General features: G+C 34.7%; 1 protein-coding gene and 1 long non-coding RNA gene across 17 annotated transcripts in view; one reads left to right on the top strand and one right to left on the bottom strand.

Annotated features, from left to right (window-relative positions):
- LOC101928236 (uncharacterized) overlaps nucleotides 1-13,509 on the bottom strand; it is a 220,247-nt gene that overhangs the window by 75,347 nt on the left and 131,391 nt on the right. Inside the window, exon 6 of the long non-coding RNA XR_007096141.1 lies at nucleotides 2,614-2,789. This is a non-coding gene — a long non-coding RNA (uncharacterized LOC101928236). The remainder of the gene's footprint in view (nucleotides 1-2,613; nucleotides 2,790-13,509) is intronic.
- The window catches only part of VEPH1 (ventricular zone expressed PH domain containing 1), a 243,864-nt gene that overhangs the window by 185,006 nt on the left and 45,349 nt on the right, over nucleotides 1-13,509 (top strand). For 12 of the 16 annotated variants that reach the window (XM_047448927.1, XM_024453748.2, XM_024453747.2 and 9 more), the window contains 2 exons: nucleotides 1,399-1,538; nucleotides 4,845-4,979. In XM_047448927.1, coding sequence (XP_047304883.1) covers nucleotides 1,399-1,538; nucleotides 4,845-4,979 — 275 coding nt within the window. Of the gene's footprint in view, nucleotides 1-853; nucleotides 1,065-1,398; nucleotides 1,539-4,844; nucleotides 4,980-13,509 lie in introns of those variants that run through there. The other 4 variants (XM_047448922.1, NM_001167911.2, XM_047448921.1 and 1 more) reach the window with 2 other exon arrangements.

Here is a 13,509-nt window from a genome sequence, read left to right as displayed (position 1 = left end):
AGTATTTCTCTGTTGCCCAGGCTAGAGTGCAGTGGCATGATCTCACCTCACTGCAGACTCCACCTCCTGGGCTCAAGCCCACCTCCTGCTCTGCCCCCCAAGTAGCTGGGTCTATAGGCAGATGCCACCATGCCCAGCTAATTTTTGTATTTTTTGTAGAGAAGGGGTTTCACCATGTTGTCCGGGCTGGTTTCAAACCCCTGAGATGAGGCAATCCGCCCACCTTGGCTTCTCAAAGAGCTGGGATTACAGGCATGAGCCACCATGCCTGGCCTCTATTAATTTTCAAAACATTTCACTTAAAATGTCAGATTAATTCTGAAACAAAAAATACCCCATTAACTATCAGTATGACTCTACAGATTAAAAAAATCCCCAGTATAGTAGCGCCTAAAACATTCCAACATGGTATCAGCCCTGCTGAGTTCCAATCCTGGCTCTGCCACAGATTGAGCAGGCTTGAGCCATTTTTTCTGGATCTCTGAGCATCATTCATCATTCATCTCTCCAGACATTAGTCATCTATTAATATTTATCTCATGTGCCAAGGTTATAAGAGGGAACAACACAGTCACAGTGGTTCACTAGACTGGCTTTCTAATGTGCTGTTACCTCATCTTTATAACAGAAATAATACCCATCTTGTAGGGTAAAATTAAATGAAGTCAAACACATAACACATGTGGAAGTCAATTAATTATAATGTTTATTATCCAGTACTTAACACAGTGCCTAGCCCATAGAATCTCAACCCATATTTGCTTCATTCATTCATTTATTCATTATTTCTTTCTCTACACATGGTGCCTCACCACCTCTACACCACTCACCCACTACTTCCTTGTCCCTAAAGGATAATCTCATTAAGACTCCCAGCTGAAATCCTTCAAGGCGAGATGACCTTTTCAAACCCGACCAGTACAGTTCACAGGAAGCTACACCTCAGCCAGAGTTATTTTGGAAGCTATCTCTGAGGCCCCTGCACAACCAAGAGAACAGCATCCATGGTTCATGGCAAGTCATTTACTACCCAGAAAATGCCTGGGTTTTCTTAATCCATTTGTTTATTTTTCCCAGGTTATCACTTCAAGGTATCCCATCAGATGAAAATGATATAGTATCTCCCATTTTATTGGTGAGAGGGTTTTCCCCCCATGGGAGTTGCTGAGTCTTCAAACATTGTTAATTAAAACAATAATAATAATAATTTAAAATCTTTATTTAAATCTACTTTCCATGAAATGGATCCCCTCTCAAATATATAGTTGTTTGTAGTTATTAGCTCACAGTTTGAAAACTGAAGGATATTTTATAAAGGCATTTGTGTGTTGAAGTATCAATATAAAGTGTAACTCTGGAAAGACCATAACGTTTAACGCTATATGTATTTGTTTCTAGACACTGTGAGAAGTTGTGTAGCAAAGTTGTTCTTCACCTGCTCCCTGAAGGGTCATTACTGCCTATACAGTAAGTCCAGTTTTATTCTCATCAGCCAAGAACCTCAGCCATGGATCCAGATCATGTTTCTATTTCAGCAGGTTTGTATAATTTGTGTTCATCAGGCTCTTTAATGAGCTTCTGGGATATGGGCTTATAATCATTTTTATTGAATTATTCTTTGGCCAGAGTTGATATGTAGATAACAGCAATACATACATATTTCATTAATAACTTTAACCTCGGTTTTTTATATTTTAGGATAGTTTCCTTATAAAAGAAGGAATTATTAATCAGTTAGCCAAACATATTAATGTCTTAAATATCCTTAGCTTTAAAAAAGAAGAATGAAAGGGAAGATATCTTTGGTTAAACAACAGCAAAAACAGCGTATTTGGGAGAATAGCTTCCCTTATGTAGTTCTAGCCTTGATTTGTCTAGTCTTCCAATCTCCAGTTAATGTTAGTGTCAGTATATCCTTTTTGACATTGTTAAGATACTGGAATGTCTCTTTTTTCTATAGAATATATGTACATAGGTGAAATTATGTAAAGAGCAACTTACAACTTGAGAATGAAGAATTTGATGCATAGATGTTAGCATCAAAAGAGATTCTTATTTGAAAATAGTTATCTCGGATGCACTAAACTTTCACATAAAATTTGAATGTAGATTATAAAATGTTAGTAATAGAAGGAATCTTAGGAATCATTTTTACAGATAAGAAAATGAAAGGGCAGAACTCAGATCGTCTGACCCCTGACCCAGTGATCTTTTTATTGTCACACATATGTTGAAAAATAATGTATTTTTATTTTTAAAATGCATTATTTTATGCAGCTAGAAGCAGGGAGGGTAAAGGCAGAAAAAACAAAATGCAAATGTTATAACACGGCTGAAAAGCCAAATGATATGACACTTTATTTACTTCTGTTAATAAAATATTTCCATAATATCTCCTATAAAAATCACCAAGAAGACAGTTGTATTTCATTATAAGATAAAGTCAAGCTTATTGGGAAATAATGAATTTTAATGCTGAATACATTATAATAATAAAGTAGAACTATAGCAATTAAGAAAAGAGACAGATTGGACATGCCTTAGGAATACTGTTTTTTTCTAAAGCGAGTCTTCTTAGGAACATTTAATAACATCTCATAGAGAACAACTCACATTTTGGTGTGAACCAAATTGTATGTGAATACAAAGAACAGCATTGACTGTCTTTCGTTTTCTTGAAATAACGACCTTATTTTTCTTCTATTTTGCTTATATTTTTCACTTAGTTTTCATCAGTGGTTTTATATTTGGTTTCATCTTTGGCTTTGTTCTAAACAGTTGTCAGTTTTCTGAAAAAAAAACAAGAAATCTTGATGGGTTTTTTTGCCCCTCAGTATTATTTTATTGATTTTGTCTGATTCTTTGTCTTTCTCTTTAAGCAAAATCACCAAAAAGTATCTGTGTATGCTATGTTTCTTCTGTGTTCATTTTACGGTAATGGTTTCTTTCTTTTTCCACACTTATGATATTGTGTCATTTTCTGCCTGAATTCTGGCTTTCGGGTAAATAAAAATCAAACTTTGACTTGATATTAATAATTACAACCTGACTACTCTTGTGCATTGGGCCAAATTCTTTCCGTTTTCTGTCAACTACATATATTTATAAAGTTCCCAAATTCACAGATTCCAGTCTAAATGCTCCTGTTTAGATTGATGATTCATTAAATCAGGTTCTGTTGTTTAAATGAAAAATTGGGTGCTTCATCAGTTTTTTATAATAATAATTTATCAGATGTATTCACATTATGGGTTATGTAATTTATCTATTGCTGGCTCTTAAACTTTTTAAATCTGTGGATCACTAACTTGAGCATTAAGATCCTCCATCTTTTCCCATTCAGTACTAGAAATAGTTTATTTTGATAATAATAAAATTTTTCTGGAATAGTATTTATTAATCTTCATTCACTAAATAGAAGCTTTGTACATACAAACCACTTAGTCTCATACACCAGTGCTTAGACAGTCATTGACATAAAAAGAACATATGATTTCATAAGCCAATCTCATTATTTTATTATACATTATACATAAAGGATCCTTTATATCACATTGTATGTAGGTAAATGGTATTTTATACCTTTATAGATGTTCTATACATTTTTTTAAAATTGTTCCTTTGAATTGAAAAGCTTCTTACATTTATAGGTATAACACTATCACATGTAAATGATTATTAGACACATCATTGATTAGTAAATATACAAACACAACTTAAAATCTTCCTTTGAAAAGTTTATTTTCATTGGCTTGAATGAAATATATGTAAATGTGATTTTCTTTATGTTCACATTCTTACTGATCAACATTTAGAGAAATTATCTTAAAGTTTTAAGAATATTCATCTATTATACATTTTAGAATTAAAACTGTTTTTGTGTCCCCCACACACCCACTCATACTGTTCATATTTGATTAATTTCATAATGAACTTATTTAATTTCTATTCTTAATGATCTACTCTGTATAAATAGACTTGATTTTTGTACTCTATTTGAATTTTATTCTTTAATTCCCAGATCTTTGAGAAAATAAATATGAATATTTATATTAACCATGTTCCAGTTAAAGAACATCCTTGGGAAATCACTGAGATAAACACTATATTACAAAGGTTAGGCATATTTATGGAGATCATTATCAACTGCCTTGAAAATACTATGAAATAATTTTAAATTTCTGTTAAAAAATGAAAATCCTGAAATATATCATATGTTTGATCTTTTTCGTTTAATTTTTTTTTTTTTTTTTTTTTTTTTTTTTTTTTGACGGATCCTCCCTCTGTCACCCAGGCTGGAGTGCAGTGGCATGATCTCGGCTCACTGCAACTTCTGCCTCCCGGCTTCAAGCAATTCTCCTGCCTCAGCCTCCCGAGTAGCTGGGACTACAGGCTCCCGCCACCACGCCCGGCTAATTTTTTTTTATTTTTAGTAGAGACGGGGTTTCACTATGTTAGCCAGGATGGCCTCGATCTCCTGACCTCGTGATCCACCCACCTCAGCCTCCCAAAGTGCTGGGATTACAGACATGAGCCACCATGCTCGGCCTCGTTTAATTTTTTTAAGAGAGGTGGAGGTCTTGTTATATTGGCCAGGCTGGTCTCAAATTCCTGGTCTCAAGCGATCCTCCCGCCTCAGTATCCCAAAGTGCTGGGAATACAGGCTCATTCATCATGCCCAACCCCATATGTTCGATCTTTAAGACAGATCTTTTTCTTGTTTCATTTAAAATTAAATCATGTTAAAGTTCAAACCAAGCCTAAACAGTGCCTTGAAATCAATCAAACAATACTATTGGGACAAGACATAGTATATTCTGTTTCTGTCTTTAATGCCCTTTCAGAGCCTGTTTCCTGAACCCCTGTCCATTCAGAGTCATTCTGTGCAATTCCTCAGAGCTCTGTGGGAGAAGACCCAGGCAGGGGGTGCTCACAGCTTTGAAACTGCCATGATGGAGTCCACGTTTCCACAGCAGAAGGTAAATATTCCTTTCCTTGGCCATGTTACAGGCCAAGATTTAAGATTGTCTTGAAACAGTTTCCCTTTTTTTTAGCAATTAAATTTCATCCTTCTTTCGTTTACCTTTCTTTTATTATTATCATAAAACACTTGTAAGAAATTATTTTCACGTGGTATAGTAGATTCAGAATAGAGTGGTACCAGTAAACAAGGACATTGCCCTTTGAGGTCTGTATACTGACACAATACAGTTTCCTAGAACCACACAATAACTGCATGCATAGTATGAAATAGAAAAGATTTTACAGCTGGGTGTGGTGACTTTTATCTGTAATCCCAGCTACTCAGGAGGTTGAGGCAGGAGGATAATATGAGGCCAGTAGTTCCAGATTAGCCTGAACATCATGGCAAGACTCCATCTTAAAAAAAAAATGTTGGCCGGGCACGGTGGCTCATGCCTGTAATCCCAGCACTTTGGGAGGCCGAGGCGGGCGGATCACGAGGTCAGGAGATCGAGAGCATCCTGGCTAACACGGTGAAACCCCGTCTCTACTAAAAATACAAAAAATTAGCCGGGCGTGGTAGCGGGCGCCTGTAGTCCCAGCTACTCGGGAGGCTGAGGCAGGAGAATGGCGTGAACCCGGGAGGCGGAGCTTGCAGTGAGCCGAGATCGCGCCACTGCACTCCAGCCTGGGCGACAGAGCGAGACTCCATCTCAAAAAAAAAAAAAAAAAAAAAATGTTTTTTTTTAATTAGCCAGGCATAGTAGCACATGCCTGTAGTTCCACTACTCCTTGATCTTGGTCTTCCTAGCTCCAGAACTATAAAAAATAAGTTTCCATTATTTATAAATTACCCAGTCTCAGGTATTTGTTATAGAAGCACAGTGACTAAGAAAGAAGGCTTGAACTAAAGTTAGAAGTTATAGGAAGATTGGAGAGCTATTAAGAAAGTCAAATCAACAGGACTGACAGCCTGATAAGAAAAATAGAAGAATCCAGGATGACTCCAGGTGCATTGTTTGGCTAACTGGATGATAATATCACTCTGAAAATGAGAAATCACAAAATAATCTGATGGAGCAGAAGAAGATAAAGCATTCTGGTTTACATATTTCAAATCCAAGCTGTTTATATGGCTAACTAGGTGGTGGTGGTGGTGGTTAAATACCAATGTGGGCTTCAGGAAGAAAGCCATGACTGGAGATATGGATTTGGGAGTCACAAGCTAGCACTTACTGTCATGGCAGAAGACTGGATTGCTCAAGGGAAATATGTACATTGAGAGAAAAGAATGGTTATTAATCTCTTCTAGTAAATATTATCAGCTTCTCTCTTTTAGCCCTTCCCAAACTCGAATATTCTGATTATTCTTATTTTGCCTTTTAGATAGCCCAGTAATAAGTATTGGATGCTTACTGAGCAAACCAGATGTTCTGAGAATAAATGATCATGGTGTCTGTCCTTGTTTTACTGTTGAAAAGGGAGACAAGCATGCCAATATTAAACAAATTCATAATACAAATGAGTAGCAAATTAAGTACTCCAGAACTGGTCTCTTGTGAAACTAACATAATATTTTTAAATGATGAAGAATTCTAATAATATGAAAAATGAGCATGATTTATCAGAAGTTTATTTGTAATGCTCTGTAAGACACTAAAGACATATGAAACGATTGCATCACTACTTTTTGGCTTGTGTTTAGGAATTCAACATGCAGTATTAAAAATAAAGGAAATGCCACAATTGCCTCAGTGTAGAGTAAAATGGAATTCTTTGTACATTTCATTCAAATTTTCAACTGTTGCATCATATTTGAAGACAATGCCTCAAGTTCTCATAAATTTTTTATTGCTAACTGTATTTTAACTAGAGGCAACCAGTAAATTAAAACCTGGCAGGCTGCTTCAAATCCTAAGAGATTAAAAAAAAATACTTGGCAAACTAGTTTTGTGCATACTCACAAGTATACTTATTCACATTTCTTGTGTTTCATGCTAATAAACATTTCTCTAAGGGAAAATTAACTGTAAACAAAATATAAAATTTTTTAAAGTTTTATAATTTGGTTTGTTCATGAGTAATAGAAAAAACTTTGATATCTGCAATGTACATTATGTGGCAAATTTATCTGCCCAAGTATTTCTCAAGTAGATTTTTTCCGATTTTTTTGAAATGTTCTCTGTACTAAATTCAAAATAGCTGTAAGAATGGTGCAAAGTCTGCTTTATTTTCATAATAGGTGCCATATAGACATACATTAGTGATTTGAAAGAGATGGCCATGTGTGTATCGGCTGCAGTGACGGAGTTTCACTGCAGCGAAATGCACACAAGAAAGAAGGAAGAAACTCCTAATGCCTGAGTATCTAGAATATAACATTCTGGACAATATGAAGAGAAGTTTGTTATTGTGGTTGCTTTTTAATAGAATCTTGGAATTTTAGAACTAAAAATTATCAGTGAGATATCTATTAAATTGCAAACTGCTTGAGGGCAGGGATTTTGCTGTATTGACCATTGTGTTGCCAGAGCTACAAGGTGCTTGGCACACACTAGGCTCTCTAAATAATACATATCAATTGAAGAAGTTTAAAAATTCTATCATTTTCTGGATGTTAAAATCGGAAGCAAAGGAACTTGTTGAAGGTCAGTGGCGGAACTAGAACTGATACACATACCCTTGCGATATCAGGGTTGTCACAAATGAATCCGGTACTTCCCTCCTCTGGGCCCAGGAGAGGATCACATTTCCCTGTCTACTGAAGCAAGGCTGGCCATGTGACTTGCTTCAGCCAATGAAATATGGGAGGGGATATGTGTCACTCCAAGAGGAATCTTTTAAAAGCCAGTGTACTATTCTCTGCAATTTCTCTTTTCCTCTACCATGATGATGATGATTGTAGGAGCAAAAGTTGAAATTGAGTTGCCAGAAGATGAAAACAGCCTGGAATTCTGAGCCACCACATGGAGGGCTTCTGCTCTAGAGAGCCACCCAGTCCCACCACACGTTTTGTATGAGAAAGAAACATCTGTTGTTTTGTTAGAAACTGAAATTTTGGTGTTAGTTATAGCAGCGTAACCTGCCTTTCTTGATTCATACACCTATCAGAGTAGTTAAGCATGTTGGCTCTGAATCACCTGGCTTTAAGATCTGCTGTGCTCCTTACCAGCTGTGTGTCCTTTGTCTCTGTGCCCCAGTTTCTTTACTTGTACAGTGGAGATAATATTAGTACCTACCTCATAGCACTGTTTTGAGACTTGAATGAGTTAATACAGAGCTCTCAGAACAGTGGCCACACATTGTGATCTCTAAATAAATGTTAGCTAATATTCTAATCCCTAGCCAGCACCCCACCTCAAATAACACAAATTCAAACCCGTCTTACATACATTAAGGGAGGTTGAGAGTGGAGGTAGGAAGATGAACCTGATTGATAATCTCTCAAGTTATTGTACTTTTCTACTTTGATCAGACCAACATTACCAGAAACGTTTTCCAAATTTCAATCATGAATTTTCATTATAAAATTCAATCAAATTCAGCCAGGTGCAGTAAATTCAGCCAGGTACAGTCATGCCTGTAATCCTAGCACTTTGGGAGGCTGAGGCAGGCGGATCACCTGAGGTCAGGAGTTCAAGACCAGTCTAGTCAACATGGGGAAACCCCGTCTCTACTAAAAATACAAATATTAGCCAGGCATGGTGGTGCCTTCCTGTAATCCCAACTACTCGGGAGGCTGAGGCAGAAGAATTGCTGGAACCCAGGAGGTGGAGATTGCAGTGAGCCAAGATCCCGCCACTGCACTCCAGCCTGGGAAACAGAGTGAGACTCTGTCTCAAAAATAAATAAATAAAATAAAATAATAAATAAATAAATTCAATCAATTATCTTTTGCAAACTATATATCAATCTCACACAGGCATCAAAATGTGGAAATGCTTATGTAATATAATGCTAAAATATTTTTAATATATAAAAATAAAAGTTTAATATTAGTGAACTTAGTAAAATGCATGAATTCAATAGTTCAAATTTTTAAAAATTATCACTTAAATGACATTTGATAAAATCCAACAATCACTTTACTAACACACATTTTGTATAAAAATTTTATTAATGTCTGTGTCACTAATTAGACTGGGTTTCCATGAGAACATATGCTTGTCATTGTACACCCAGCACCTAGAGCATCGCCTGGCTTACTGTTGACACTCAGTGATATGTGTTCACTGAACAAAGTGAGTGAGCACTATTACTAACTAGAAATGGAAAGATGTGTTCTTAGCATGATAAATATTTGTCTGATAACAAAAGAAAAACTATGCCTAGTGGTGAACAACTGAAGATTTTTTATTAAAATACTGAAATAAAACCAGAATATCCACTATAATCTTTATAATTTAGTATTGCTTGAAAGCATGAGCCAACATGAGAATATAAGCTCCATGAGAGCAGGGATCTTGTCTCCTTGTTTGTTACAGAATCCAGGATATCTAAAGAGCATGCCTGGCTCATACTAGGCATTAATAATAATAATAATAATAACAACAACAACAAATAGAACACAAGACAGAAATAAGGAGTATACTATTTGAAATAAGAAGATAAATTCAACATTACTTTTAGTTAATATGAAAATACAAGGAACACTATTAGAATTAATAATAATAATTAACTTTACTGGTCATTTAGAATGTGCCACTAATTGTCCTGTTCATTTAACATCAATTAGTTCACTTAATCCCAATGACAACACTATGAGATAGACAGCATTATTATTATCATCTTACAAATGAGTAAACTAAGTAGAAGAAAGATTAATTTTCTCAAAGTCACAGAGCAATGGAGAGAAATACACTTGAATGAACAGTGATATTACCACGTTCCTGATTGGAAATAGCAAATATGACAAAAATGTTAATACTTCCTAAGTTAATTAGCACTTTAACTGAGTTCCAATTTAAATTCTAAGAGAATTATTTTTTATCTCTTATGAAGTGATGGTAAAATACAGCCAGAAGGATAAATAGGTGAGACTAGTTTGAAAATTTTTGAGAGGGGCAAAAAAAAGGACATTCCAAAACATTTAAGCACACTATAAAACCTACAATTATTAAATTACTCCACTTTTATGGAAAGAATTAATGCAGATAAATGGAACAGACTAGTCCAGAAACCAACTCAAATATATACATATAATCAGTTAATGTATATATACAATTGTTTAGCTACGTATGAAACGAATCCTTTTTAAAAAGCCTACATAAAAGAGAATGATATCAAAACCCTAGAGCTAATTTTGTACATACAGAAAAAATGTAAAGGTGTTTGCTATAATTAGAAATTAAACAAGGATACCTGTCATCACCTTCAAAATTTAGCATTTTACAGTGATCCTACCCAATGCAGGGAGACAAAAGCAGTTAAGTATAAGGATTAAAAGAATAAACCAGAAAGAGAAAGAGATAGAGATGAGAGGGAGGATGAGGGAAAGAGAAATTATTTATAGACAATAAGATTATTTGTGTGGAAAGTTCAAAAGAATCTAACCTTTAGAACTTATATAAAAGATCCATAAAGTTATTTGATATAAGATCAACATATAAAATCAATAACAAATCTATACGTGAGTAATAACTAAATAGAAAATGTAGAAAAGCATGCCATCTATAATAGCAGTAAAGACTATAAAGGACCTAGGAATAAATATAAGAAAAGCTGTGAAACTCTTTAATGATAAAAAATTTTTTAATATTAATGAAAAAAATTTTAAAGACCTGAATTAATGAAAAGATATGATCTTTTCATGGTCAAGAACAACCATTATCATATAAATGAAAATTTTCTCCCAAATTAAAATGTAATTACAATTTCATAACCAATCCTAATGACAACAGACTTTTCTCATGGAGTTTGACAAACTGGTCCTAAATTTAGAATAAACAAAATCCTAAGAAAGACTGTGGGGGAGGAAATTTTTATGGTACAGAAAGAGAAAACTCATGTGATTATTTCCACAGGGATAAATTAATGGTAAATAATAAAGAGCCCAGAAACAGTCCCAATCATATATGAAAGCTTGGTAGGTGATAGAAGGGGGATTACAAATCAGCGAAGAGAAAGTAAAATATGTTTTAAATAATGTAAGGACATGTAACTTTTCCAAGCTGAAAAGATAAAAGTAGATCCTTCACAGACACCATATAGATCAATTAACTCCACATAAATTAAAGGCTTAAATGTAATCAATGAAATCTTATAACAATTAGAAGAAAATATCGAAAGTTATCTTTATAGCTCCAGGATAAGAAAAATGTGACAATACAAGTCTTGGCAAAGATGTGAAAAAGTGGGAATGTTCACACACTCTTGATGGAAGGAAAATAGGTATACCTGTTTAGAAAAAAGAACACTTAAGAACATATATATATATATAGTCATTAATTAGACTCAAAAATGACAGCTAGATTACTGTTAAGATGGGTGAGTAACTTTATTTCTGAAGTCTTAATTCCATTTAAAGCTGATCATAAAAATGCTTAAATACAAGAAGGTTTTTGTATTACAGTATATAAAATGTGCTAATACTACTCAGCTATTAAAAAGAACAAAATAATGTCTTTTGCAGCAACTTGGCTGGAGCAGGAGGCCATTATTCTAAGTGAAGTAAGTCAGAAATAAAAAACCAAATACTGTATTTTCTCACTTGTAAGTGGGAGCTAAGCTATGAGTATGTAAAGGCGTACAGAGTGGTATAATGGATATTGGAGACTTGGAAGCTAAAAAACTACATATTGGGTACAGTGTACATTATTTAGATGAAGGGTGCACTAAAATCTCAGACTTCATTCATCCATGTAACCAAAACCCACAAATTTTCATTTTCAGACTTCTTAAAGAGCAATCTGCTCTTTATAATATAATCAGTGGTTATATTATAATTTCATGTGCCCTATTTTTCTGCAGTTCTATTTCTAGATGAACTCTTACATATGTGCATCAGAAAACATGTACAGAAATACTAACTGAAGCATTTTTTGCAGCAAAAAATCAGGAGCAACCCAAATGTCCCTTGATAGAGGAATGTGGAAAAAAAACGTTGTGGTATAGTCATGTTATACAGGCAGGTAAAGTGAATTAATTAGACCTATATGTAATAGCATGGGATAAATCTTGAAAATATGATATTGAGTTTTAATAAGCAAGTTGCAAAACTATGATATGAATACTATGATAGCATAAATGTTATTGTATAAATTTTTAAAACACACCAAGCAGTGTTATGCATTATTTATACATACATATACTTATGATAAAAATACACTATATTTAGAATTATACAAAATTCATGATGAGGTTGCCTTTGGGTAAGGAGAAAGTGAGGAAAGGAAGGAGGAAAATGTTACCGGGGAAGGGAATTAAGGAGATCTCAATTTCATCTGTAATTTTATTGTTAAATAACCAGAAGCAAAATATTAGCATTTGTTAAGTCTGGCTGGCAGGTACATGGGTATTTGTTAAAGTGTCTTTTGTAGATGCTTTTCTGTCTTTGTTTTTTAAATTTAATTTAACCTGTAACTAATGTCAAAGAGTAAAGAATTGGTAGGTTTGACTACATAAAATATAAAGTCTGTAAAGAGCAAAACCTTTTATGCACAATAATTTTAAATGAAAATATTTGTAACAAGCATGAAAAACAAAGTTTAATATCCTTAAGCTACTACTATAAGTTCATGAAAATCAATAATCAATGAACGAAGAACATGAGCAAATACTTAGGAGACTGAGTCCGTAAAAGATATTCAGCCTTATTAGTAGGCAAAGTAGTCAAAGTTAAAATAAGTTACCCTTTTTAACACATTTTTTAAAATACAATAATCAGTGCTGGCTTGAGCAAGAGTTAAGGCACTCACACGTTTCTAAGTTGAAGTGTAAATTATTTCAACATTTCTAAAAAGCAATTTAGCAATGCAGTTCAAGAGTCTTAAAAATATTCATATCCTTTCACACAGTGATTCCACTTCTAAGAATCTGTTCTAAAGAAGTAATCTGAAACATGTACAAAACTTAAGATAAACAAACACAAAAAGTATTGCAGAGGGATTTATAAATAGCCTAAATGTCTAAAGATAGGAGAATGAAATTATTATACAACCATATAAAAGAATATTTTTTGTAGGTCTAGTCCTGAATCCAGGTAAAAGAATATTTTTAAGACAGATAGAGGCCGGGCGCGGTGGCTCACGCCTGTAATCCCAGCACTTTGGGAGGCCGAGGCGGGCGGATCACGAGGTCAGGAGATCGAGACCATCCCGGCTAAAAACGGTGAAACCCCGTCTCTACTAAAAATACAAAAAATTAGCCGGGCGTAGTGGCGGGCGCCTGTAGTCCCAGCTACTTGGGAGGCTGAGGCAGGAGAATGGCGTGAACCCGGGAGGCGGAGCTTGCAGTGAGCCGAGATCCCGCCACTGCACTCCAGCCTGGGCGACAGAGCGAGACTCCGTCTCAAAAAAAAAAAAAAAAAAAAAAAAAAGACAGATAGAT

Source organism: Homo sapiens, chromosome 3 (assembly GCF_000001405.40).
Source record: "Homo sapiens chromosome 3, GRCh38.p14 Primary Assembly".
Taxonomy (NCBI): domain Eukaryota; kingdom Metazoa; phylum Chordata; class Mammalia; order Primates; family Hominidae; genus Homo; species Homo sapiens.
This window is presented reverse-complemented; position numbering and strand designations above follow the sequence as displayed.